This window comes from Homo sapiens, chromosome 1 (genome assembly GCF_000001405.40).
Source record: "Homo sapiens chromosome 1, GRCh38.p14 Primary Assembly".
NCBI lineage: Eukaryota > Metazoa > Chordata > Mammalia > Primates > Hominidae > Homo > Homo sapiens.
The window spans coordinates 113,523,736-113,551,486 of NC_000001.11; the positions used below are offsets into that span (position 1 = coordinate 113,523,736).

The following is a 27,751-nucleotide window of genomic DNA, read 5'->3' on the forward strand; positions in this document are numbered from 1 at the left end:
GCCTGACAATGTGATAGAAAAGAAAATCCCATTTTCTGAGGAGAAATTCAAGCCAGCAGCAGAAATTTGCATAAGTAACGAGGAGCCAAATGTTAATCCCCAAGTCAGTGGGGAAAATGTCTCTAGGGCATGTCAGAGACCATTGCGGCAGCCCCTTCCATCACAGGCCTGGAGACCGAGGAGGAAAAAATTGTTCAGTGGGCTGGGCCGGGATCCCTCTGCTGTGTGCAGTCTAGGGACTTGGTGCCCTGTGTCCCAGCCACTCCAGCTGTGACTAAAAGGGGCCAAGGTACAGCTCGGGCCATGGCTTCAGAGGTTGCAGGCCCTAAGCTCTGGCAGTTTCCATGTGGTGTTGAGCCTGCAGGTGCATAGAAGTCAAGAATTGAGATTTGGAAACCTCTGCCTAGATTTCAGAGGATTTATGGAAATGCTTGGATGTCCAGGCAGAAGTTTGCTGCGGGGATGGGGCACTCATGGAGAACCTTTGCTAAGGCAGTGCCAAAGCAAAATGTGGGGTGGGTATGCCCACAGAGAGTCCCCACTGGGGTGCTGCCTCGTGGAGATGTGAGAAGAGGGCCACCATCCTCCAGACCCCAGAATGGTAGATCCACAGACAGCTTGCACCAGAAAAGCTGCAGACACTCAACACCAGCCCATGAAAACAGCCAGGAAGGAGGCTGTACCCTGCAAAGCCACAGGGACAGAGCTGCCCAAGACCATGGGAACCCACCTCTGGCATCAGCATGACCTGGATGTGAGACATGGAGTCTAAGGGGATAATTTTGGAGCTTTAAGATTTGACTGCCCTACTAGATTTCGGACTTGCATGGGGTCTTTAGCCCCTTTGTTTAGCCAATTTCTCCCATTTGGAATGGGTGTATTTATCCAATGCCTGTATCCCCATTGTGTCTAGGAAGTTACTAACTTGCTTTTGATTTTGCAGGCTCATAGGCAGAAGGGACTTGCCTTGTCTCAGTTGAGACATTTGACTGAACTTTTGAGTTAATGCTGAAATGAGTTAAGACTTTGGGGAACTGTTAGAAGACATGATTGGTTTTGAAATGTGAAGAGATGAGATTTGGGAGGGACCCTGGGCAGAATGATATGGTTTGGCTGTGTTCCCACCCAAATCTCATCTTGAATTGTAACTGCTACAATTCCCACATGTTGTGGGAGAGACCCCAGGGGAGGAAATTGAATCATGGGGGTGGGTCTTTCCCATGCTATTTTCATGATAGTGAGTAAGTCTTATGAGATCCGATGGTTTTATAAAGGGGAGTTTTCTTGCACAAGCTCTCTTCTCTTGTCTGCCACTGTGTGAGACATGCCTTTCACCTTCCACCATGATTGTGAGGCCTTCCCAGCCATGTGGAACTGTGAGTCCATTAAACCTCTTTCTTTTGTTAAATTGTCCAGTCTCAGGTTATGTCTTTATCAGCAACATGAAAACGGACTAATACACAGGCTGTGTTCACAATTTCCCAATTGTTCCTAAAATTTCCTTTATAGCTTTTTCCTTTTTTTATTCTTTCTCTCTCTGTTTAAAAACGTCTAGGAACTAAACAAGAATCACATTTGCTTTAGTTGTCCTGACTCTTCAGTCTGTTAATTTAGACCAGTCTTCCTTCCTTTTTTCCTGTCTTCTTGTGACTTTGACATTTTAGAAGACTATAGGGCAGTAGCTTGCTTTGTAACATGTTCTTTTGAAAACTGCACATACTGATTGAAAGATAACAGACTTTGTTAAATTATATTTCCTCTCTGTGGTCTTCATTGAACTAAATAATTAAATGATAGTAAAAGTAGCCTTCATTTAATAGTTAAATTATTTAACTATTATATGAAATAATTTAACTATTAAATGAAGGCTACATTTTATTATTTAATTATTTAATAACTAATGTGGTTTAATTAATTAAACTTTAAAGTTTTTAGAAGATAAATAAATAATGGAGATAATTTGGGTTATGTGAAAGATCATTAAAAATAAAATACATATTGGCCAGGTATGTAATCCCAGAACTTCGGGAGGCTGAGGCAGGCAGATCACGAGGTCAGGAGATTGAGACCATCCTGGCCAACATGGTGAAACCCCGTCTCTAGTAAAAGTACAAAAATTAGCTGGATGTGGTGGCGCATGCCTGTAATCCAAGTTACTCAGGAGGCTGAGGCAGGAGAATCGCTTGAACTTGGGAGGCGGAGATTGCAGTGAGCCAAGATTGCACCACTGCACTCTAGCCTGGTGACAGAGTGAGACTCCATCTCAAAAAAACAAAACAAAACAAAACAAACATATTTTGAGTAGAATATTCCAAAAGATTAGGTTTATAAAGAAAAAAATTAGACCAAAAAAGTTGTTTTATTTGAAAAAGGCTTTAAAAATATTTCAGTCTCATTTTATTAATTCTTTAATATTTATTGAGCTCTTGCTAAGTTGTTCCTGTTCTCCTAATGTTTGAAATCCAGGGAGTGAGGCAAGCTGTTAGGAAAGTGTAGTACAGTGTGATAAGGCATGTGGGTATATGTGATGAGGAGCTTACAGAGTCCTAGGGGAGCAAATAAGAAGGGCAGCTAACTTAGAACTGGGAGATTAGAGAGACCTCTCCAAAGATATAGTATCTGTGTATAGACATATTAATGTAGGTATAAAGGTATTATGAGACAACCAGACAAGGGGTTAGGGGAAGAGTGTTCCAGAGAAAAGGAACATCACATCCCAAGCTCTACGTATGAGAGAGAGAGAACCTAATATTTGAGGAATGTCAGAATGACGGTGGGTATGCAGTATGGAGAAGGAACTACAGGGTGGCAGGAGAAGAGGCTGAAAGGGAATGCTGGAGGTCTTATAAACCACATTAAGGGATTTGAAGGCTACTCTTAGCTCAATTGGAAGGTTACCTACAAAAGTAGAAGTATGATATAAGCAGATTTGTACTTTAGGAAAATTGGAAAACAAAGCTGGTGGCAGGGAGTCCAGTTAGGAAGCTGTTGGCTCAATCAGGCTAAAGATGTTGGTGACCCGGATTAAGGTAGTAGTCATTGAAATGGAGAGAACTGAATGAGTTTGAGAAATATTTGGGAGATGGTATCAACAGTATTTGGTGATTGAAGAAGAGGTATAACATATTAATTAAGAAAAAGACTGTAGAGCCCAGACATCTGGGTTCAAGTCCTAAGTCTGTCACTTAGTAGCTTTGTAAATTTGGGTCAGTTATTAAACCTCCCTATGCCTCATTCTCCCCATCTGTAAAATGGGAAGAAAAACAGTACTCATTTTATAGGATTATTGTGAGAACTAAAAGAATTAATATATGTACAGAATTTAGAACAGGTGCCAGGTACATAGTAAGTATCATATAAGTGTTCTATAATAGTTATTGTTGCAATTGTTAATATTATTATTACTGATTTGATATGTCAGTGAGGGGGAGAAAAAGAGCCAAGGCTAACTCCTAGATTTTTAAAATGGCAGTTGAGGTGAATTGTGGCAGATTTTATGTGTGTGGCGGGGGCGGGCAGGGAGGAGGTCTGATGCATTCACATTTGGATTTGCTGAGTTTGAGAGGCTTTTCCAGTTGGCATCGCTCAATAGGCACATGAATTTGGAAGTAGGGAGAAAGAGTTGAGGATATCAGTTTGAAAATTACTAGAATATAGGTGATAATTAAGCTGTGGAAATAGAATGAATTCACCCAAATGAAGAACTAGTTAAATAGGGAGAAAGGCATATAAAAGATTGTGTTATCTTTAAGAATTTATTATTTAGGCCAGAAGCCAAAGTATAAAACTTGGTGCCAAATGGAAAGTTTAGAAAACTTTCAGCATTCAATACAACTTCATTTAAATTAGGTTGGTCTTCAGAGGATATTGAGGTGAGTAAAATGGGCAGCTAGATGAAAGAAAATCATTCATCTATTGAGGAAACTGCAGAGAAGTCACTTTGCTAACACAGGGAAGATGTTGCTGATTATTTTCTGTTTTGGATCTGACTTAAGGAAAAAAGATAAAAGATTCATTCTTAATTGGCAGAATAGCAAAGAATGAGTTAAGTCTTTCTATAAATTATTTGTCTTAAGTACCTATTGCTAGAATTAGTTAATATTGTATTTACTAAGGAATTCTATATTTTTTCAACTATTATGAAAATTTTCAAGCATACAGAAAATTAGAAAGAACAGGACAATGAATACCCATATAACCACCACTTAGATTCCATACCCACCTATCTATAAGTATGTGTGTGTATGCGTACATGTCTGTGTTTAGTGAAACCATTTCAAAGTAAATTGCAAATTTTATGACACTTTAATCCTAAAATATTTAGCATGTATTCCATATTATACCTCACAACACCACTATCACATCTAAGAAAATTGACAGTAATATCTTAATATTAGCTACTATCCAGTTTATAGTCAAATTTTCCCAGTTATCACAAAAATATTTTTTATGGCTTTTTTTTCCCTTCCTAAACAGGATCCAACTGAAGTTGACATATTGCCTTTAGGTGTTATACCTCTTTAGTCTCTTTTGTTTGAAAATCTTCACCTCCCCCAACCTTTTTTTTTTTTTTTTGAAAGGAGGAGACTTTTTAAGAGAGCAGAATGTTCTAAATTCTAAATTTGTCTGATTGCTTCTTCATGGTATCATTTGTCTTGTTCATCTATCCTTTGTAATTCCTATAAACTGGAATGTAAACCAAGTTGATTCTATTCAGATTAAATGTTTTGGCAAAAATACTTCATAGATGACACTGTAAACTTCATATTGTATTGCATCAAATGGCTATCAGATTAGCAATAATAAGTTTGATCTTTTCTGTGTAATAAAATACTTTTCTCCTTTGAGATTAGCAGGAAATTGGTGGGAATAATTTCATACTAAATGGCTTAGCATTTATTGATGACTGAATCAGTTATTTCATCGGGAGTTGCTAATTCTATCGTTCCTTGTACATTGTTAGCTGGCATTCTTAGGTAAATAAGAATTTTGCACCTGGAAATGAACAACATAATTACTTATTTGCTTTATCCTACAGTACACAAAAATAGGTTTAAAATGACAAAACCCAGTGTTAATACTATAAGCATAATGTGAGGTTCAATATTTTTAATAGTTTTTATTGTCCTTAGAATATATGCCAATAAGAATGTAAGTCAGAATACTATGTTCAAAAGTGACTTGAAATATTTTTTGTTCTCATGTGGTTATGTTACTGATTTGACAAGCAATTAAGTTCATTTGTTTCTACTTGTTTTCGGTCAAAGTTTGCTTATTTAGATCTTATATTTAGTTTTATTCTCTTGAATTTATAAAACTTTTGTTGGTTCAGAAGTCACACTATATTATAAAGTATAGTTGGAGAAGTTTGGCTTTTATTTTGTACATCTACCCTCTACCTCTGTCCTTTTACCACCCTGTCATAGGTAAACATTTTTATTCATTTCTAGTTTAGCCTCCTAGTGTGTTTCTATGTGTTGTGATATAACTGTGTAACTGTCCTTGTTAATTAGCGTTGCTATAATGAAAATTCCATAAACTGAGTGGTTCAAACAACAAACATTTATTTCTCACAGTTCTGGAGGCTGGGAAGTACTAGGTTGAAGGTGCCAGCAGATTTGATGCCTGATGAGGGCTCAATTCCTAGTTCAAAGATGTCCATCTTTTTGCTGTGTCCTTATGAGGCAGAAGGTTAAGGAGCTCTCTGGGTTCTCTTTTATTGGACGCTGTTCCCATTGATGCAGGCTCTGTCCTCATGATCTAATCACCTATCAAAGGCCCCACCTCCTCATACCATTACACTGGGGGTTAGGTGTCAGCATATGATTTTGGGGGAACATAAATATTTAGTCTGTGGCAGTACTACAACTCTAACTATCCTTATTTTTTCTTCTATACTGGATGTATCATCTTGTACTCCATAGAGGCATGCCTAGTATATTTGATGCCTAAAGCAGATAACTTTTTAATATATATCTCTCCTATATGACAAAATTATTTTCAAAAATAACCATGAAATAAAACAAAATATAATAATGGGTAGAAATGAGATATAAACATTATATTTTATTTTATTGAATGATGAATATATAATCATGCCAATAAAAATAAATTAAAAATAAAATAAATATTACAGTACAGAAAATGTTTATTAAAATATTTTCACCAGAAAATTCATCTTAAGTTTTTCTATTTGTTTTTTTAAAAAACTTCTGAAAGTTTTTCTTTTTCTGGAAAATGCAGAGAAAATGACTGTGTGATAGTGGGCATTGATGCTATTTGACCCACTAGTTTATAACTGTGCATTCAAATAAACAGTGCCATTTGGTTTCTTCTAGTAATGTAAAAGCAGCATCTTTTGTTGTTTCCCTTAGCATTCTTCACATTTTTGTTCTTTTCTCAATATAAATGTCCATTTCCTCACATTTTATTTTTGAGTAATGACCATAGCCACAGTTTCTATGTACTGTTCTTTAAATAACAGTTTTAAAGCTTTATGTTTTATTGTCCATTGTTGAAAGTTGATTCCGGCTGTCTGCAAACATTTTTGTGTCTGATTAGCTCATCTAAAACTTCCTACCAGAAAGGAAAAAAAAAAAAAAGACAACTTAACGCAGGAACAGAAAACCGAATGTTGTATGTTCTCCTAAGTGGGAGCTAAACAAGAATACATGGACACAAACGGGAACAACAGACACCAGGGCCTATTTGAGGGTAGAGGGTGGGAGGAGGGAGAGGATTAAAAAAAATACCTGTTGGGCACTATGCTTATTACCTGGGTGACCAAATAATTTGTACACCAAGCCCCCATGACACGCACTTATATAACAATACTGCACATGTACCCAGAAACCTAAAATAAAAGTTAAAAAAAAAAAAGACAACTTAGAAAAGAGAAACAAGGCCAGGTGCAGCGGCCTTATGCCTGTAATCCCAGCACTTTCGGAGGCTGAGGCAGGAGGATTGCTTGAGCCCAGGAGTTCAAGACCAGCCTGGGCAACATAGTGAAACCCTATCTCTAAAAAAATACAAAAATAAGCCCTGGTGGTGTGCACCTGTAGTCCCAGCTACTCGCGAAGCTGAGGTGGGAGGATTGCTTGAGCCTAGGGGGTCGAGGCTGCCGTAAGCTGTGATTGTACTACTGCACTCCAGCCTGGGCAGCAGAGCAAGCCCCTGTCTCAAAAAAAGAAAAGGAAAGGAAAGAGAAAAAGAGAAACAGCATACACTGATCATTATTTATTTGGAATATATTATTTAAATGCAGAAATATATGGTGTCATAGGGGCTAGAGACATAAACTGTACTCAAAGGAAACTTGAATAATTTTGAAACATTACAAAATTAACTTCTGAATAAATGTAACTGAGTCCATGTGCATCAGAGGCTAAACTGTGAGTTCTCCACTTTCTTTTTTTTTAAGTTAATTTTCATATATAAATCAGTGTTTATTGAGAAATAAGTAATAAAAATCTGCTAATTTAAAGCTTACATACAGGTTATTAAAACTTAACAGTCACTGGAACAATTATTTAGAATTTAGAACACAAATTCTTTTTCAGGGAGTATTTTTATCACTGACATTGTTTAGAATTGCTGGCACTTGATGATAAAAAGCAGAATAATTTTTAGTTAGGTTTAATTTTTAAGTTCTCTATGTAGAATGCACCCCCTTGTTGTGGGCCTCAAGGGTGATCTGCTTCTACCACCCTACCTTTGGTATGCCACTGTATCCACTAGCAAAGTATGAGACTATCTGTTTCTTCCCAACCTCACCAACAGAGTGTTGTTGAATGTTTCATCAGTCTGATGGTGAGAAATCATATTGTTTTAATTAGCATTCATCTTATGAGTGAAGGCTTTTATAAGTTTAAAGGTCGTGCATTTCTTTTTCTATAAAATGCCTAGTCATTTATTTTGCCATTTGTTTTGGTGGTAGTTTTTCCCCGACTCTATGTTTGAACATAAGTGGTATTGCGGGGGGTGGGGGTCGGGTGGGGGGCTGGGGCGGGGACAGGGTACCTTTCTCGAAACCTTAGTACTCAACATGATACACAACAGAAATCACCATGTCTCCCTTTAAGGTGGCTTATGCATACTGCAGCCACACTAAGGAACTAAAACAACTTCATATGTATGAGCCTAGGAAACTGTTGAAGTAGAGCTTTTCAAATTGGACTCACAGTTTCATCTGTTTTTATACATTGGAATTTCTTACACAGTTTCTTTTAAGATATAATTCAGTTCTTAAGTCTCTGAATCACTGCTATAAAGTGAGAACAAACATCAGTGGTTCTTTTAAATTTTATAATATACCATAATACAATAAGAGCTACATAATTAGAAATTAGTAATTTAACCAATAAAATCAGTTAAATTGGTTTCTTCACTGAATTGAGTTAGGCAATTTAATTAAAATAATTATCACATAAATATAGCCCTACTGCTTAAAGACTATTTATACTTTGCTAAGAAAGAAAAATTGTATATTCATTTTATAGAGTCAAATATGAATGTTTGTATTGCAGTTATTAAACTTTTATATTATATATAAACAGCTTCCCAGAAACAGAATTGAACATGAAATTTTATCTCCATGTCTGCAAATTCCCTTTCAGTCAGTATTTATATATATATTATCTTTGTCTTTATAGTGTTACCTGCATGTTTGTATTGGACCTTTTCTACTTTTTTTTTTAAGTTGTAAAAATGGTAACAACATTTAAGACAAAAGTGTAAAGACAGAGCATAGCCACTCATAATCTTATCACTAACAGCTTTTTAATTGTCAGTTGTCTTATTTTTTAATGTCTCTTCTAAATTGTCACATCTGTTTCTTTAAAAATCCTGATCTCTAAGAATAATTTCTCCTCAGTGGCACTTTTTGCCTACTGGTCCCTCTTTTAAATACGATAGTATTCTTCAATAGCAACAAAAGTGTATTTGGTTTTAATTTTGAATTTAAAATTTAACAAAGTATCTCGTGTTTACTGAGGTTAAGGTACTTGTGAATTATTTATTAGAGAGCTTGGAAATGTTAATTTTAAGTGTATGTATTGTAAATCTGTCTCATCATGTCAAAAACAAGGTAATAGAATCATGTAATATATGAAGATGTATGTTATTAAAGAGCTACAAAGAATTGATGTTAGTGCTTACTTGAACTTACAACAGACTTTTTCCAACTGAATTGAGATTAATTTACATCTCTCTAGAAAGCAGTAACTTCTGACATCCATTCATTTTGACCATGAAAAATAAGGTGGTGTGTGGATTGTACCTCTCCCCTGTATCTATTGGTCTCGTTACCTGTGTGCCTTGTTTTTTCTCATGTGACACCTGTTTATTTTTTCATCACAGTAGCTAAATAACGTAGTATTAGTATTTGCCTACAGCAGCTCTAAGTTATATGGTTTTCTTTTAGCTTTAGTCATAGACCTCCGGATTACTTGTTTCGTGTCTCTCTGAAGAAAAAAATAAAAGAAAATGTGGTACATATACACCATGGAATACTATGCAGCCATAAAATGAACAAAATCATGTCCTTTGCAGCAACTTCAGTGCAGCTGTAGGCCATTACATTAAATCAATTAACACAACAACAGATAACCAAATCCACATGTTTTCATTTATAAATGGTAGCTAAACATTGAGTACACATGGATAGAAAGAGGAGAGCAATAGACCCTGGGGTCTCCTTCAGGGTGGAGGGTGGGAGGAGAGTGAGAGTCAAAAAACTACTTATTGGGTAGTATGCTCACTGTCTGGGTGACAAGATCATTTGTATACCATACTCCAGTGTCACTCAATTTACCCATGTAACAAACCTGCACGTGTATCCCCCGAACCTAAAGTAAAAGTTGAAAAATAAAGATAAAAAGATAGATGAAATTTAGCTATATATCTATTAATTTAAAACCACCATTACCACCACAACTCAGAAAGACCTTGTTGCCAAGCGAACGGAATACAGATAACACACCGTGTCTTTCATCACAGAGTTTTCATCTTAATCTCCCTTGATTTGGACTGTTTAAATATCTTTTCTTTTTCTTTTTTTTTTTTTTTGGAATCAGATTCCCCGTCCCCATAGCTAAAGAATTTAAATTTGTCTTTATGATGCTGTTGTTTTTACCTTTTTCTTGGGACACGGTGAATATTAATATTCTCATTTCAATGTAATTTCTTTTTAATTTTTGAGTTTTCTTCAACTGTGCTTCTTGTTTATTAAACATTTAGTTCATTCTCTTTTCTCCTGCAGGGACACCTATAATTTGAAGTTTGAATCACAGCACTTCCCCTGCACATCTGTGAGCATTCATTCACTTCACGTCTCAGCTAATTTCTTATGTTTAGTATGTTTCTTGACTCTGCCTCCTATTTCACCAATACAATTTTCTGCTGCGCTGATTCTTCTAATGCTGCTTCTACTGCCAGTATTAATTGGTTTGTGGCTAAATTTATCCTGTGCTGCTGTTAGTGCCCTCCAACTGTTCTGCTTTTCCCATAGTCCACATTGTTGCCAGAATGATCCATCTAAAATACAAGTCTGGCTATGTCATGCATCCTGGTAAAATATTTAGTGACTTCACCACAGAGTAATGCTCTAATCCTTTAAGGTCATGAGTTAGATCCTTCTTTCATCTGAGCCTCCCGCCTATCACTCTAGTCATATAATCCCTTGCGGCCTTGCCTTTCCTTCCATGCCATTCAGCATGCCCTTTCTCCTGCCTGGAATGCCCACTGTGCTCCCTCTATCTATCCTCTCCATTCATTCTTCCAGTCTATGTTGCCTGGCTTCCCCTACCAGTCACAATTATTTTCTCTTGGGTACATACTCCTATGTACCTTGTACATGCTTCTTAACTGGCTTTTGTAGTTATTTGTTTAGACTGGTTTATGATACTATAACACTGGGGTGACCATTATGACACCAAAGACAGGTATTACTTTGTGATTTTTATATCCCCCATGCCTAGCATAGTGCTTGGTATTTTGTTTTATTACCCTTCTGTCCTCTTCGTTTTATTTATTTTAAGGGAGAAAGTAATGATCACCTCTATCATGTGATTTTTTTTTCTTTTTTATGGGAAGTATTTTTATTGGAATCAGACTGTTTAATTGTTTTTCTCCTGTCCATGTTTTCTTGTACATAATTTACTAATCCCTAAGATGTGGTCTTAACAGTAAATTGCCTTAAATCACCATATGGTATTCAGTCACTGGGTCAGGGTAGAGGAACCAGTTCTGTAAGTGGCCTGCAAAAGGCCCAGTTAGTATTCATTTCAGTAACCAAATTACAGGCTTAAGTCAACCAGGACTGACTTCTCTAGCTTAATTGTTTGGTCTGAAGCCTGGGATGGTGCTCAGCTTTCACATGTGTTCCTAGTTATGCAGCTCTGAAATTTGAAAGCAAGCTGTACTCGGCCAGGGTGGTCTTATTCTCTTGTTTTTATTGTTTGCCTCAAAGATTATATTTGCTCTAATTCTTAAGCACTTAAAAGAATAGGGGAAAAAACAGAAGCTTTATAGATTTCTAAAAAATGGTATACTTTTGTTGTTCGCTTAAAAAAAAAACCTCTCAATAGAAAGTTATGAAGAGGAGGATAAAAATTCTTCATTGTCTTGCCACTGAGAAATAAGCACATTTTAGAATATGTTTTGCATACACATATAAGAAACATGTACCAATTTTGTAAATATTGTATACTAAATGCTATTCTGCACCTTCCTCTTTTTTTTAACTCAATATATTTAAACATTATAAATCAGTAGTTGAAGACACGTTTCATTATTAATGATGTACTCATCAGTTCCCTATAGTTGGACACATTTTTTTACATTTGTATTTGAATATTACCTTAGTAGATCTTTTTCTAAGAGGATATGCAAGTATATGTTAATAGATATTGCCATAATGCCTTTCAGAAACGTTGTGCAACTGTATGCCCTCATTAATAGTGCATGAAAATACTTATTACCGCACATCTCTTTCAAAGCTAGATTATTGTCAGTTACTCTCTGTGAGGTAAAGTCTTCCAATTTCCAGCCCTAAATTCAGAGCTCTTCTCTGAATTCCACATAGTTATATCCAACAACCTACTTGATATTTCTACAAGGTGTCCGTCTCACCAACATATCAAAACAACATGCCCCAATCCAACCTGATTTCCTGCCTCAATTCTGAAACCTGTTCTTCTCCTTTCTATTTTTCTTTAAATAGAACTTAAATTTACCTGGTTTCTCAAATGAGAAACCTGGAGTCATTATTATTTTTTGTCTCTGCCTCTCTCCCTGAATCTTCCTGTCAAATGTACCACCAACTATTATGGCTTCTACCCACAATCCCATGTATAGCCAAATACAAGAAGAGCCTGTTCTTAAGCTGTCCACAATTACTAGAAGACATGTGTTTTTTTTTTTTTTTAAAAAAATTTGATTAGACAGTATGAATCTAACTGTTAGGGATATAATCAAATTTCTACTTCTAATATTTAATTTAATTATACATGTATTTAAACTCACAATTTAGAGATACAGGGTTTGCCACTGTGTCATACAAAAATTTTGTTGGTGCTTTTTCAACACTGGAATGAGTCATCTAATACAGTTTTCCAGATCATCTCCTCCTCCCTTCCATCTAAGTTGTTTGAGATAATGTATTTTTTGAATCTGTGTATAATGCTGTCTCAGTTCCAAGTACAATTAGGGCAGAATTTTTCCCCCTACTTTTTCTGTTGGCATATATTCATGATCCTGTTACCTAAGCATGGACTGAATTGCTTTTTTCAAATGATCACTGAAATATTGCTTGATGGTGACATCTAACACACACAGCAGGGAGGTAATACGTCATGGAATAATTACTAAATCTTCTTACTTTGCTTACTTTTTTCTTTTTTTTTTTACCAGTTGTGTCAAATTATCTCTTGAAGCAATTGTTGTTGGTTCCAGCTAACATGACTGTTCCAGAGAGTACTTTGTGATTTTTCAGAACAAAATAATTTGTATGTCAGTCTGTAATCTGAAATATTCTAAGGTTCAAATATAAGATGATTTCCTCTTCTAAGGATAGTTTTTGATATTGAAAAACTCTTCATATATATGGGTTTGTACAGTGAATCTCAAATCCATCTCCTTTTCTCCTTCACTACCACTGTAAATCAAAATCATCTCTTACCTGGACAGTGGCCCTCACTGTTTAATTGCAGGCCCCATAGCTATTCTTGCCCCCCTGTACATTCTCCACACAAAGTTACTTTTTTAATATGCCAGTCTAATTTTCTTACTTCTTTACATAAAGCCCATTAGTGCTATTTCTTGACTACCTTTTCAGTTTACCTTGGTACAACTTGGCTCTTACCATTAGCACATGAAGTCTTCAGCTTGATATAGATAGCAGATAGCCTCTATTTAGCTATTAAAATGCCTGCATTGGTAGTAGTGGGTAAGGAGGGAGCTAGAGCCGAGGGAACATTTTGGTAGCTTTATCTCCGTTTCTCTATGAATTTTTGTCTTTTGCTCCTAGGCATTGGGAATTTTTGCTTTCCCTGTTGGGAGCAGGCATGGTGGCTTCATTTGGCTCCCTCTGCTTCAGGGTGAACTCATGGTGAATTAGAAGGTACTCTGCCACAGCTCATACACTTTTTGTCATGTACTATTCCACTCTCAAGTTACTGTCGTCTGCAGCTTTGAAGTAGGTTTGCCTACTGACATCACACCTCCCAGTTAAGAACCTTGTACAGAAGAAAAATGGCCAATGAGTTTGGCCAGTGAGTTCCACCTTCAGTCCTGCCGTGCTTTCTGATAGCTCACGTAAACTGGGGATGTCAGTGGAGGCCTTCCGGATATTTTCTATTCAGAGTTTGCAAAACGTGCTGTCCTTATGAGCTAGAGAGTTGCTTGTCAGCTTTTGGCATTCCCTCAGTGTAGTCCAAATTGTTTTGTATTTTCTGGAGTTGATAACGTTTTTAAGAGATAATAAATTTTTTCTTTCATTTTTGATTATTTTTTCTCATTTTCTGTGTTGAAAAGAGGGATTTTTGTAAAAGTGACTTATATTGTCATGTTGCCTAGAAGACTCTTCCAGTTCTTGAACAGACATTTTACATTTTGAAGGATCATTTTAAAAAATATTTTAAATGTGTTATTGATTAAAGAGAGATTAGAAATGGAAATTGGAAATACTTAAATTATTTTGTTTGTTGAATGTATGTTGACTCTCTCTGGACTCAGATTACTTTTGATGTATAATAGAATTTTGGGGATCTTTAACCATTTACTGCAGAAAAGTTCTGAGGGTCAGTATATATTTTTAAAAGCTATCAGAGAAAAGAAAACTATTAAATTGTTCCTTTCATATTGGTTAATTATATCAGCCTACTGCCTGAATCCAGAGGTTGAAATTGTTTACAATAATGAAGTCTCTTAAAACACACTATGAATTCTCTAATTATCATCTTTTTTGGGTCAATATTCCCTTTCAGCTGTCTCTTTATTAGCTGTTGTAATGAAATATCAGTAACAGATCTTCCACCTCAAGTCTTGGACATTCTGTTGAAGTGCATAACTTTGATTTGTAAAGACTACTAAACCCAGTTATTATGTTTTCAGTGAAAATGACAGTGCACAATAGATGGTTTTGTACGCTCCTGTCAAAAGGATGAAGCATATAATATGACTCAGTTATTGGTGTGCCAGCCAGGCATTGGTTATCTGGCATTACGACAGGTTTGCTAATGATTCCTGATGTGAGCGTCACAAAGAAAAAATTGTAAATAGCCTCAGGATAACACTTCTAAAATGCTGGGTTTTTTTTAAGTACTAAATGTTCATAATCCCATAAAAAGTTTAGAAAAGAAAAGGACCCAATTTTGATTATTTACTTTTTCACTTTTTCTACTCTGTTCTGCTAGGAAGGTCCCATCTTACTTTGCCCTTCCTGATATATGACCTTTTAAGGGGAGGTTGTGGTGATTTTGTTGTGTCTTGTCTAGAATGATGATTTCCATCTTATTTTTCAAACATAGGTTTTAGTTCTTTAGTTTATCCGTTGACTGAGAGTTTCAGTTAAAAGAGAAATGATTGCAATTTATCCTAGGAATGGTGAAAATAATATTTATTTTGAAGACAGCTGACCAAAGAAAAGCCTACACAAATAGTCTCAGCTTTCATGTAGAACTTGGAAGTTTTTTGTCATAATGGTCCACTATGTTAGGCCTCCTTTTCCATTAATGACATTTAAAGGGCACAATTTTTCACAATTTGGTTTCCAGTTTGTAAAACTTTTTTTTTCATTATAGTAACATATTTTCACTGCAGAAAATTTGAAAAACAAAAGCTATGAAGAAAAATGTTTTTAAAGAAAAAAGTTTATTTAAGGCCGGATGTGGTGGCTCACTCCTGTAATCCCAGCACTTTGGGAGGCCAGGGCGGGTGGATCATGAGGTCAAGAGATCGAGACCATCCTGGCCAACATGGTGAAACCCCATCTCTACTAAAAATACAAAAATTAGCTGGGCGTGGTGGTGTGCGTCTGTAGTCCCAGCTGCTCGGGAGGCTGAGGCAGGAGAATTGCTTGAACCCGGGAGGTGGAGGTTGCAGTGAGCCAAGATCACGCCACTGCACTCCAGCCTGGTGACAGAGAGAGACTCCGTCTCAGAAAAAAAAAAAAAAGAAAAAGCAAAAAGTTTATTTAAAATGCTTTTCAAAATCACAAGGTAATTACATCCTTTGATAATACCTTAAGTATTGTTAAGTATTTAAGAATGAGTTTGTTTTATGTGTGTCGCTTACATTTTTTTTAATTAATTAATTTATTATTATTATACTTTAAGTTTTAGGGTACATGTGCACAATGTGCAGGTTAGTTACATATGTATACATGTGCCATGCCGGTGCGCTGCACCCACTAACTCGTCATCTAGCATTAGGTATTTGCATATATTCAGTTATGTTTAATTTGGATTCATACCAAATATTTTATTTTGTAACTTGCTTTTTTTCATTTAAAATATATCATGAGCATTGGACTGCATTGTCATATATTGAAGCATTACTTTTTTTTTTTTTTTTGAGATAGGATCTCATTCTGTTCCCCATGCTGGAGTGCAGTGGTGCGATCATGGCTCACTGTAGCTTCGACCTCCCTGGCTTAGGTGATCCTCCCTCTTCAACCTCCCAGGTAGCTAAGACTATAGGTGTGCACCACAACGCCCAGCTAATTTTTTGTATTTTTAAAATACAGACAGCATTTTACCCATCTCTACAAAAAATAGAGATGGTCTCGGACTCCTGGGCTTAAGCGATCCACCCATCTCAGCTTCTCAAAAGTGCTGGAATTACAGGTGTGAGCCACCATACCTGGCCAAAACATTACTTTTAATGATGTTGCTTAGTGAAAGGGTTTGTGTGTCTTTGAAGTCTACAGTAAAAGTATTTTTCTAATATGAATTTATTGGAAACACTATCAGTATAACAATCACATTATTTAAAATGTCATTTTTGCACGTTTAAGACAAGCGTTTATTTAGCACTATGCTAGATATTTTGGAGGATACAGAGACACACAAAACATAATTTCTGACTTCACACATGCTTAAGATCCAGTGAGGGAAGCAGACACGTACCCACTGTTCTGTGGCAAGAACCAATGGGGAGGAGAGATGAAAAGATGACCTTCTTAGTGTGGACTCCAGAGTTCTGCCCACGTCTTGTTTTCAGAGCAGGTGGACAAGCGGTCAATGTGCAGGTCTTTTGCTTTAACCTTATTTATGTGTACACAGCACTGTAGATTTATGTGTACACAGCACTGTAGAGCACTAGTTAGAGTAGACACAAAACTGAAACCACTAGATAAAACAATTGGGTGTGGAGGTTAGAAGGGTAGAGCTGGGTGTTGACAGACTGGTGTAGTTGCCTCAGAAGTGAGAATATAGATATAGATGCAATAGCATTTTCCTCTGGGGCACCACCTCTTTTTCTTTACATCTCAGATCCCTGGCCATGTGTCTGACAGTTTTTTAGAGAAATGATTGTTATTTGTAAATACATCATACACAGAAACACTTGCTTTTTTAAGCAAATAAAAATCATAAAAACAAAAAAAAGTCCACAGCATGATGGGTTTTAGTTATACATAATTTGAATATAAGGGAGCAATTTTGATGCTGCATTAATGTGGAATTCTACATGTGATAAACAGTGTTAGACTTTTAGAATATATATTTTTAGTTTGGTAGAGCTCATGGATTTTCCAGATGTATAGGCTGCTTAAGCCAAAGAGTTCTTTCTCTAGCTATGATTATAATTCTTCTGATTATAAATGCATTAAAAAATAATAAAGGAAGGATGAAGTGGAGGAATGTAAGAAATAAGAAGGAAGGGGAGAGAGAAAAGAAAACCTTTCTGGGCATGTGTAAGGAAACCAGCAGGCTTGACCTTCAAATGCCAGTGATATGTAGGACCCAGGGCAACAGATGAAATCTGACCAATACATTTGTGATGGCCCCTTCCAGGAACCTATGGAAAGTGGACACTCCCATTTTAATGTTTACTATTGCCATAATTCGTAATATAGACGAAGAATGTGACCTTTGTTAGCAGGAGCCTTTCTTGTGACTGCTGAGGTGGTGGCTCTATTATGTAGAATATAATAACATTGCTTCATTGCTTTAGTCTGTTTCTTCAAACTGTAACTTGAAAAACTGACTAGTTTTAAAAATGGAAATGGCTCAAGAGACTCCAGAGTATTTAATGCTTTTCACACTTGGGACTGGAGAGGAATTTAATTATATAAATTATTTTAAAAATCCATTAAGTTCCTGCTTGCCTGTAACGAGCGTGGCATACTTAGAGAAATGTGTAGATATAAACCTTCTGAGTTTAAAACCTTGGATATATTCTTTTAAGTAGGAGACAGACTAGAAATAATGAGAAAGCATTTGAACACAGATGTGGAATATAGAGGTGACCAGAAAGAATATGTTGATAGTTGTTAGCTTATGGGAATTGCAAAGGGTTTTAGTGTCAGACCTGAGTTAGTGGATGTTCTTTTAAATTATTGTTACAAGGTTCTGCGTAACCTACTGGTCTATGGAACTCTTATCTCAGATTGTGTGGACTCTTCCTCACTTTCTAAGAGCCAGCAACACTGGATTTCTCTCAGTTCCTCTAACCACTGTGTTCTTCCCCAGCTCAAGTAAGTGCTGTCGCATGTCTTGTTTCCTCTACCAACATTTCCCCCACTGCCCTTTTTGCCTTGCTGGCTCCTATTTATCTTTCAGATTTCAGCTACAATGGCACTTAGTGAAGTCTTCCCATAACTCCCAGATTTAGGATCTAAGTTGTAAATTCCCACAATACTCTGTACAGTAGTCCCCCCCTCCTTATTCTTGGGGGATATGTCCCAAGACCCCCCAGTGGATGCCGGAAACCATGGATTGTACCAGATCCTACATATACTATGTTTTTTGATCTAATAACCCAGACAGCTACTAAGATAGCTACTGAGTAACTAATGTGTGGGTAGCATGTATGGCATGGATATAGAGATGATACAGCAGGACAAAGGGATGACTCACATCCCAGGCGGGATGGAACAGGACGGTATGGGAGTTGAGTTCATTGCAGCACTCAGAATGGCATGCAATCTAAAACTCATTAATTGTTTATGTCTGGAACTTTCCATTTAATACTTTCAGACCAAGGCTGACTGTGGGTAACTGAAACCGTGGAAGACAAAACGTTAGATAAAGAGGAACTCCTGTACTTCTCTTTTATAATGTTTCCACGTTTGAAATTTCTTCTTCAATGTTTATCTTCCCTGCAAGACTTTAAGTTCCCTTTGGGCTCACTCTCATTCACTGCGTTTAGCCCTAAGTACCTACTCCTCAGAACTCAGAAATGACTAGACTGTGTCATGGAAAAGTAGGCTGTTATGAAACAGGAAACCTGTACTCTATAAGCTTATGCAAAAGAAGAAATTCATCAAAAGGGACCATGTCTCTTACACACACAGGTACATACGCGTGTGCACACACACAAACACACAGAGAAAGAGAGAGGGAGAGAGAGAAAGAAACAGGGATATTCTAGGACAGCGCTTACAATGTTTACAGTGTAGGCTCTGAAGACAGATTGACTGTGTTCACATCCCAGGTCTGTCACTTACTAGCAGTGTAACCTTGGCCAAGTTACTTGACTTCTCAATACTTTAGCTTCTTACCTATAAAATGGGAATAATAATAACACCTACTTCAAAGGTTATCATGAGGAGTGAGTTAAAACATATAGCATATACTATAATAAATATAATTAATATGTATATAATAATGATAATAATTCTAAAATAACAGCCCTAGTCATCAGTGTTTCCATTTCTTGTTCTTGTCTCATTCCTATGCCTCTTCCACAGAAAGAAGTGTTTTTGGCTTTTCCTGCTGTAGACTTGTTATACCCAATGGTGCCAGAAGATAATCGATTCAAATGGTTAGCTTAGCCTTATTTTATATTTCAGTCCAGATACCATTTTGTGAATATGTTTTAAAATGTTAATAAATAAAGAACAAAATTTGATGAATTGACATATAAACTATAATTAAAACCTACTTTAAAGACTCATAGAGCTTGCTGCTTTAATGAAGAATTGAAGAAATTGATGAAGAATTTATTTTAGTGTTTTGACTGAGCCAAAATAAAATCAGTTTCATTGTTGAAGAAACACAGTTTAACATAAACTTGTAGATAGACTATTAAAGAGTGCTGTATCAGTTAAGTGAGCACTGTCTTCTAAAATTTCATGTATTCAAGGATGGAGAGGGTCAAATGAATAGTTAAAAATACAAATTAAGGCCAGGCATGGTGGCTCATGCCTGTAATCCCAGCCAGCACTTTGGGAGTCTGAGGCAGGCGGATCACTTGAGCTCAGGAGTTTGACACCAGTCTGGGCAACATGACAAAACACTGTCTCTACCAAAAATACAAAAATTAACCTGGCCTGGTGGCGTGTGCCTGTGGTCCCAGCTACTTGGGAGGCTGAGGTGGGAGGATTGCTGGAGCCCCCGAGGCGGAGGTTGCAGTGAGCCGAGATCGCACCTCTGCATTCCAGCCTGGTTGACAGAGTGAGACCCCATCTAAAAAAAAAAAAAAAAAAATTTAAACTGATTAACTTATTCTATTTTCTAGGTACACACTAAATCTATAAAAACTAAACTAAATCAATAAAAATAAACCATGGCCTTGGCCTTTAGATAGCTGACAATTTAGGTTTAACAATGTATATGGTATTTTTGAACAGCTTTTGTGTCATAGAATGAATATGTTTTACTATGAAATGTATAGATACTGATTATCTAGAAAAGCATTGTAAATACTTTTATTTTTACAAAGAAGTAGACAGTTTGATTTATTATTTTTTAGGGATCCCCTTCCTTGAGCCAGGGAGCCAGTCTGGCATTAGGCTAATCTTACCACTTTCATGGAGGCTTCCCTTACTGCTATAGATCTCATGAGGTAGAAGAAGTAATAAGAGGGACTGCTATTCTGAGTCCTGGTCTAATGGAAAAGGACTAGTTTGTAATATTGGTTGTGTGTTGATGTGGTTGTATTGAACAGTTTATTGGGAAAGTCACCAAGTTGTCTTACAGACATCATTGTAAAGAAGAGAACTGAAACATGGTTATGCCCATCCTTTGCCTTTAAGGAAAACAGATATTTGCAAGATTATAGCATCTATGGCTGTGATTTCAAGGCTAGAGAGTTCTAAAAGAAAAATTATTAGAAGAAATTCTTATAGGTGTACAAAATGCCCTGAACAGCTCAGGTTTCTTAAAGGATGTGCATGATTAATAGATGAAAGGAGCACATAATCATCACACAGTTATACAGTGCTAAGACTTTAAGAAATAAACATTTAAGAATTTTCTCTTCAAAGGCCAAAATTTAAAAGGAACTAAGATGCCTCAGAGTGCACAAAGAGCTTTTAAGGTTGTGTTTGGAGCAAGAGCAACAAGAGGGAAGAGATAGCTCACTGTCTGAAGAAGATATTCTTAATGTCTGTTTACAGGTAAAAATCAGACCTATACAATTCTTACTTTGCTTCTATAATCTTGCAATAGCAGAAATCCTTTTCCTATAGTAAAAGGTAAAACAAACAACCTGAAACAGAGGAAATTAAACAAACAAACAAAAAATATGAGAAGATGGAGTATCATTCACTTTAAATGAATTTAAATTTTCAATACTGAAATGTATTGCCTCCCAGGAGTTGACGGACTCAGGTATAATCGTAGGGTTATTGTCACTTTTTTTTTTTTAACAAAATATAGTTTTTTGTTTGTTTGTTTTGTTTTGTTTTTTTTTTACAAAATCACTGAGAATATGGGGTAAATACTTGGAGACAAGAGAGAGACAAATGTCCTAGTTTCCAAAAAGGAATAAAGTATATTGCAAAAACCCAAGACCAATTCCCTACTTTAAACTGTGGTAAAATTTGAAGAGATTGTAAAAAAATGAAATATTGTGTTTAGAAGAGAATGGGATGATCACCATGAATCAATATGAATTTATAAGAATAAGACATGCCAAAATGACCTCATTTTTTTTTTGCTTTATTTTTAGTTGTATAATTGCTATTGGATTAGAGAATAGTAAAGACATGTTGTATCTTGACTTTCGCCAAGTGGTTGACAGTGTTTCCTTAACTATCCTTGTGGAAACATGATGAAATTAGATTGTAATTAGATTGATTTACAGCTGCTTGCCTGGCCATTGCCATGCCCGCATGCCCAGCGTTTAGTTAAATAATAGTTACTTTATATACTGGTTCCTCACAGAGAACTGGTGGTGAACATTAATTTGCATATATTCAGAAAGTATGGATTTGTAGTTAACGAGTTTTTTTAAGGATTTGTATGTTGAAACTTGAGTTCCTGGATTTATTCATGATTGAGGTTTCTGTTAGGGACTTTTTTGCAACCAAGCTGTATTTGTAAGATATATAAATCTGTTTTTAATTTACATATGTAACCTTGACTTATAAATTACTTAGAAGCCAAGGCGTAATATTAGCATTTAGAGCAAAGTCTGGCTATGTTAAGAATGCTAACGTTATGAAGAATCTTTTCTTTGTTCAGTAACAACTATAGTAAGCTCACTTGGATGTTTTTCATACCCTTGAAATGTCATTCCTGTGAACTATCCCTAAACAAAAGGCAGATGTTCATATACAAATTGATAATACAGATATATTCAGCAGTGTCTTTCTGAGTTAATGTGTCTGTTGGCCTTCTGGTAATCCCACAGTCAGCTGCCTGTTCAAGATATTTACATATTTTTTAAAAAAATACAAATTCCCTGGAATCATATCAAAGAGAGAACCATATATTTTGTTCACTTAGGAAGTTCTTTTGGCAGTCCATGATGGCTGCTACATCCAATATATTTTTTAATTAATTGTTACTTTTAGAGAATGCAAGTCCATAGTTAACTTATTAAACTTTCATAATTGATATTTCTTTGATGCTTGTAATATTTTGTTTCTAGCCTCAAAAAAGTGTGATAACTTTTTTGAATACTTGCAGATGTTTACATAAAATATCACATTTATTTATTTGCTTATTTTTGAGACAGAGTCCCACTCTGTTGCCCAGGCTGAAGTGCAGCCGCACGATCTTGTCTCACTGCGACCTCTGCCTCCCAGGTTCAAGCGATTCTCCTGCCTCAGCCTCTGGAGTATTTGGGATTACAGGCACATACCACCACACCCTGCTAATTTTTGTATTTTTAGTAGAGATGGGGTTTAATCATGTTGGCTAGGCTGGTCTCGATCTCCTGACCTCAAGTAATCCAACTGCCTCGGCCTCCCAAAGTGCTGGGATTACAGGCATGAGCCACCGCACCCAGCCAAAATATCACACTTACAAAATTGTCCCTCACACTTTTCTTTACAACTGTTCGTCTCGGTGTTACATCCAGAATCCCAGTAGAAATGAACGGTGAAAAACAGAGTGCAATTCCAGCCTTGGCCTCTGAGTCTTAAGATCTTGTAGGCCCTTAAAACAAGAATTGAGGCCAGGCACAGTGGCTCATGCCTGTAATCCTAGCACTTTGGGAGGCCGAGGTGGGCAGATCATGAGGTCAGGAGATCGAGGCCAACCTGGCTAATACGGTGAAGCCCCGTCTCTACTAAAAAACACAAAAAATTAGCCAGGCATGGTGGCGGGCGCCTGTAGTCCCAACTACTCGGGAGGCTGAGGCAGGAGAATGGCGTGAACCCAGGAGGCGGAGGTTGCAGTGAGCCAAGATTGTGCCACTGCACTCCAACCTGGGCGACAGAGTGAGACTCCATCTAAAAAAAAAAAAAAAAAGCAAGAATTGAGTTGTTTCAATTATTTTGCCTTAAGAGACCCATTATGCTGTAATTTATGATTTTATTGTGGCTTTGTCCTTAATTATATCTAATTTAATGGTTGTTATTTTATAGATTAAAATGCAATCTGAGTTTTTAGCATTTTATAGTTATCTTTGTACGTTATACCATATCTGACAGTAAAGCTTCAAATTTAAAAAAAAAAGGAAATCGTGAGTTAATAAAACAAAGTATTGAGTCAGATTGTCTTTTTAAATTATTCATGTATTATCTTTTATCCAAATTAAGTCTTTTTCTGAAAATATGTTGTATAGCAGATATTTAGATGTCGGAGCCTACATTATGTTGTTTTTAAGTGGGGGAAAAAACAATGATGCATTCTCTGTCCATTCAAAAACCCTAACCAAACTTCCCCAAATATCACAAAACACCTTTAGACAACTATATAGCGATCTACGAAAACTTTTGTATAACATTTACAAAACATTTGAGACATCTCTTACCTGATTTTAAAAATACTTAATGAATTCATTATTTGGTATATTTTTGTTCAATAAGTAATGAGACTATACAGTATTGATTATAAATTAGCATTTTATTCTATCCGGTGATGAATAGTATACTGTATGATTCTGTATTATACATTTAAAAAATGAAATAATATTATTTTTATCTAAATAAGGCTTGGGTTAGTGGGATCCCTAAATGCTTAATAGAAACAACCTCTGGGACCAGAGATTCTTCTGTGTTCATCCTGGTAAATATCTTTCAGGTTTATTAAAATCACAAAGGCTCCCCCTTGCTCAGCATCTATTTTTAGCAAGACAAAAGAAGGACTTTTTAGGGTTTGTGTTTATTAGTTTAGGATCTGAATATGTTTGCTGAACTTTTGACATACACTGATTTCCTGCTTATGTTAACACCGTCTTGCATAGGTTATGTTCATTTATACATATGAGAAGAGCAAAAGAGGGAGTTAGAAATGTAATATTGTGGAATAATAGTTAAAAAAATTAGCTGATCAATAGTATTTGGTTTATCTAAGCTTGTCATAAGTGCGTTGCTCTAAATAAAAGAGTATACTTTAATCAACTGTTCTTATTCAATAAAATAATCTATTTTGCCTTAGCATTGATTTTTTCTAATTATCTGAAGCCTTGTCTAATGAACAATGGTTTGGACTGTTTGGAGTTTCATTTTAAGTTCAACCCTTACTATAAATTCATTGCTATCAGATTTCTGCAATCCTGTTTTTTCTGCTTAATATTTCTTTGAGAGCCCTTATATCTCTCTATTTATTTCCCATTTTCCCCACAAATAATAGAAAATTTTTGACTTTCTTAATTATTCACATTGTATCTAGGAGTCAAGCAAGTGGACAGAAAATGCCTGTTCAATCTAGTGATAGGAAGAGGACCCTAAGGTAGGGCCAGTTTGGCCTTTTCGAAGATCAGAAAGATGGCCAAGAATAGGTGGAGCAGTGTTTGACAGTGGGAAGAGTGACCAAATTAGGATCAGGGATGGCTGGAGCCAGAACATGTAGGGCCTTCTAGTCCCTGTTCGGGATTTTAGATTTTGTTGCAAGTATAAGATATCTGAGGGGACCCTAAACAGAGTAGTAATTATCAGATTTATGTTTTAAATCTCACTCTGGCTTCTAAGTGGTGGGCAGCAGGAAGGAGACAAGAATGATGCCGATTAGAAGGCTGGGACAGAATTCCAGATGAGGAATCAGTGGTGGCTTAGATTAGGGTGGTGGCAAATGAAATGAAGAAAAGTCAAATATGTCTTGGAAGTAGAACCGACAAAAGTTGCTAATGTGTTGGATCTGGATGGGTAGAAGTGAAAAGGAGAAATCAAGGATGACTTCTAGATTTCGAGATTGTTTTGCAAGTTGATGGTGCCTTCTACAATAGGGAAAATGTTGGGGAGGAAACATTGGGGGCAGATGGAATTAAAAGTTCTGTTTTGGCTATCTGAAACTTGAGGTGCTTATTTGACTTCCAAATATATCTGCAATATATATGCATCAGTTTGATGAGTTTAGAGCTTGGCAGAGGTAGATCAAGGATGGATACATGATATGAATGTGGAAGTTATCATTATATAGATAGTATTTAAAGCCATGGGACTAAATGAAATTACTCTGAATATTTTTGTCACCTTCTCTGACCTGTACCTTCTCCCTCCCTTACCATGTAAAATTATTCCCACATTATATTGCAGGTACATATTTTAATTATAGTACCTATAAATAATTTGGTGTTCTTTTCTTTTTAGTAAAATTCTCTGATTTCTTTATCCTGTTTATAGCTAACTGGTTTAAGAGTATTCAGTTACTAGCTTCTATATTTAAGTGAACGTCTAAAAATTATGCATTTATTTTCTGTTTTTTTTTTTTGTCTTTGCTCCAGGCAAAGTCATTAATAAAGATTTGCGGCATTACCTAAGTCTTCAGTTTCAAAAAGGATCAATTGACCACAAACTGCAGCAAGTGATCAGAGATAATCTCTACTTGAGAACCATTCCATGTAAGTATGTGATGGAATAAAAGAACTGAAGCAGAAATGTCCTTTCTTAACTAATTAAACATCTACAGATAGTTTGATGGAGTATTTCACATGAAATTGTGAAGACTAAGTTGGGAACAAGAATGAAACAAAAATTGGATAAGAAGAAAAATTTTCAAAGAACTTGAGAGGTTTTGTTTTTAAAAGTAGAAAAATGGAAAAACTGGGCCGGGTGCAGTGGCTCACACCTATAATCCCAGCACTTTGGGAGGCCGAGGTGGGTGGACTTGAGGTCAGGAGTTCAAGACCAGCCTGGCCAACATTGTGAAACCTCATCTCTACTAAAAATAAAAAAATTAGCCGAGTGTGGTGGCGGGCGCCTATAATCCCAGCTACTTGGGAGACTGAGGCAGGAGAATCGCTTGAACCCAGGAAGAGGAGGTTGCAGTGAGCCGAGATCATGCCACTGCACTCCAGCCTGGGTGACAGAGCGATACTCTGTCTAAAAAAAAAAAAAAGGCCGGGCGCGGTGGCTCACACCTGTAATCCCAGCACTTTGGGAGGCCGAGGCGGACGGATCACTAGGTCAGGAGATCGAGACCATCTTAGCTAACACGGTGAAACCCCGTCTCTACTAAAAATACAAAAAAAAAAAAATTAGCCGGGTGCGTCGCAGGCGCCTGTAATCCCAGCTACTCAGGAGGCTGAGGCAGGAGAATAGCGTGAACCCGGGAGGCGGAGCTTGCAGTGAGCCGAGATAGCGCCACTGCAGTCCGGCCTGGGTGAAAGAGCGAGATTCCGTCTCAAAAAAAAAAAGTAGAAAGTAGAAAAACTGGAAGATTCTATATTGTGAGTTTTAAAAAGTGATGACTAGAATTTAAGATTATATAATCCCAGCACTTTGGGAGGCTGAGGTGGGCAGATCACCTGAGGTCAGGAGTTTGAGACTAGCCTGGCCAACATGGTGAAACCCCATCTCTACTAGAAATACAAAAATTAGCCGAGCATGGTGGCAGGCGCCTGTAATCTCAGCTACTTGGGAGGCTGAGGCAGGAGAATCGCTTGAACCTAGGAGGCGGAGATTGCAGTGAGCCGAGATCATGCCGTTGCACTCCAGCCTGGGCAACAAGAGCAAGACCCTCAACTCAAAAAAAAAAAAGAAAAAAACGAAAAAAAATATATATATATTTTTACATGTTGTTAACTAGATTTTATTCCTGTAAATCAATTTGTAAAGCCTTATGCAGTAAGAAGACTTTTTAGCTCCCAGTGCCTTGCATACCAAGAACAAGTATTTTATTAGAACTTTATTTTAAAATAATTTTAAAATCTTTCCCTTCCCCAACAAGAAAAAAAAAAAAGAAGAAGAAGAAAAAGGAAAGGGACTCTCTCTTACTTGGAATAATTTCTTTTTTCCCTCCCTCCGTGGCTTCTTCCCTTCCTCCCTTGACTATGTAGTGGCAAAGAGCTAAGTAAAATTGAGTTCAAAATCTTTACTCTAGCATCTTACTGGCTACTTTACTTGGGCAAGTTACTTAATGTTCCTGATCCTCAGAAACTCTCTATATAGAATTAGAATAACAAGACTTACCTCATATAGCTGTTACTAGGATTTAAAATGAGAGCATATATGTAAACTGCTTGGCCTAGAGAGGCACTCAAGCAGTGTTTGTCCCCTTCCCCCATTCTAACTGGATCTCCTCCCTCTCATTTCACCTCGATTCAATCAGTTTTTAAAGTGCACATTTCTCAGCACTATAGGAAAGGGAAAAAAATTTAAAAATAAAGTGGACATCTGATTCTTGTCCAAAATCTATAGTTTATCCTTCAAAGATTTCTACTGACAAAGTTCAGACTCCTTAGCATCGCATAAAAT

General features: G+C 36.6%; 1 protein-coding gene across 5 annotated transcripts in view, besides 1 other annotated feature; it reads left to right on the forward strand.

Annotated features, from left to right (window-relative positions):
• MAGI3 (membrane associated guanylate kinase, WW and PDZ domain containing 3) overlaps positions 1-27,751 on the forward strand; it is a 295,409-nt gene that overhangs the window by 133,221 nt on the left and 134,437 nt on the right. For all 5 annotated transcript variants that reach the window (XM_017000974.2, NM_152900.3, XM_005270737.4 and 2 more), the window contains exon 2: positions 25,780-25,896. In XM_017000974.2, the coding sequence (XP_016856463.1) occupies positions 25,780-25,896 (117 nt within the window). The remainder of the gene's footprint in view (positions 1-25,779; positions 25,897-27,751) is intronic.
• Positions 16,692-16,986: a silencer, noted in NCBI's record as "tiled region #10793; HepG2 Repressive DNase matched - State 8:EnhW". NCBI's record gives its function as "represses a minimal TATA promoter and a strong SV40 promoter by Sharpr-MPRA in HepG2 cells {active_cell/tissue: HepG2}" and the evidence as "EXISTENCE:reporter gene assay evidence [ECO:0000049][PMID:27701403]".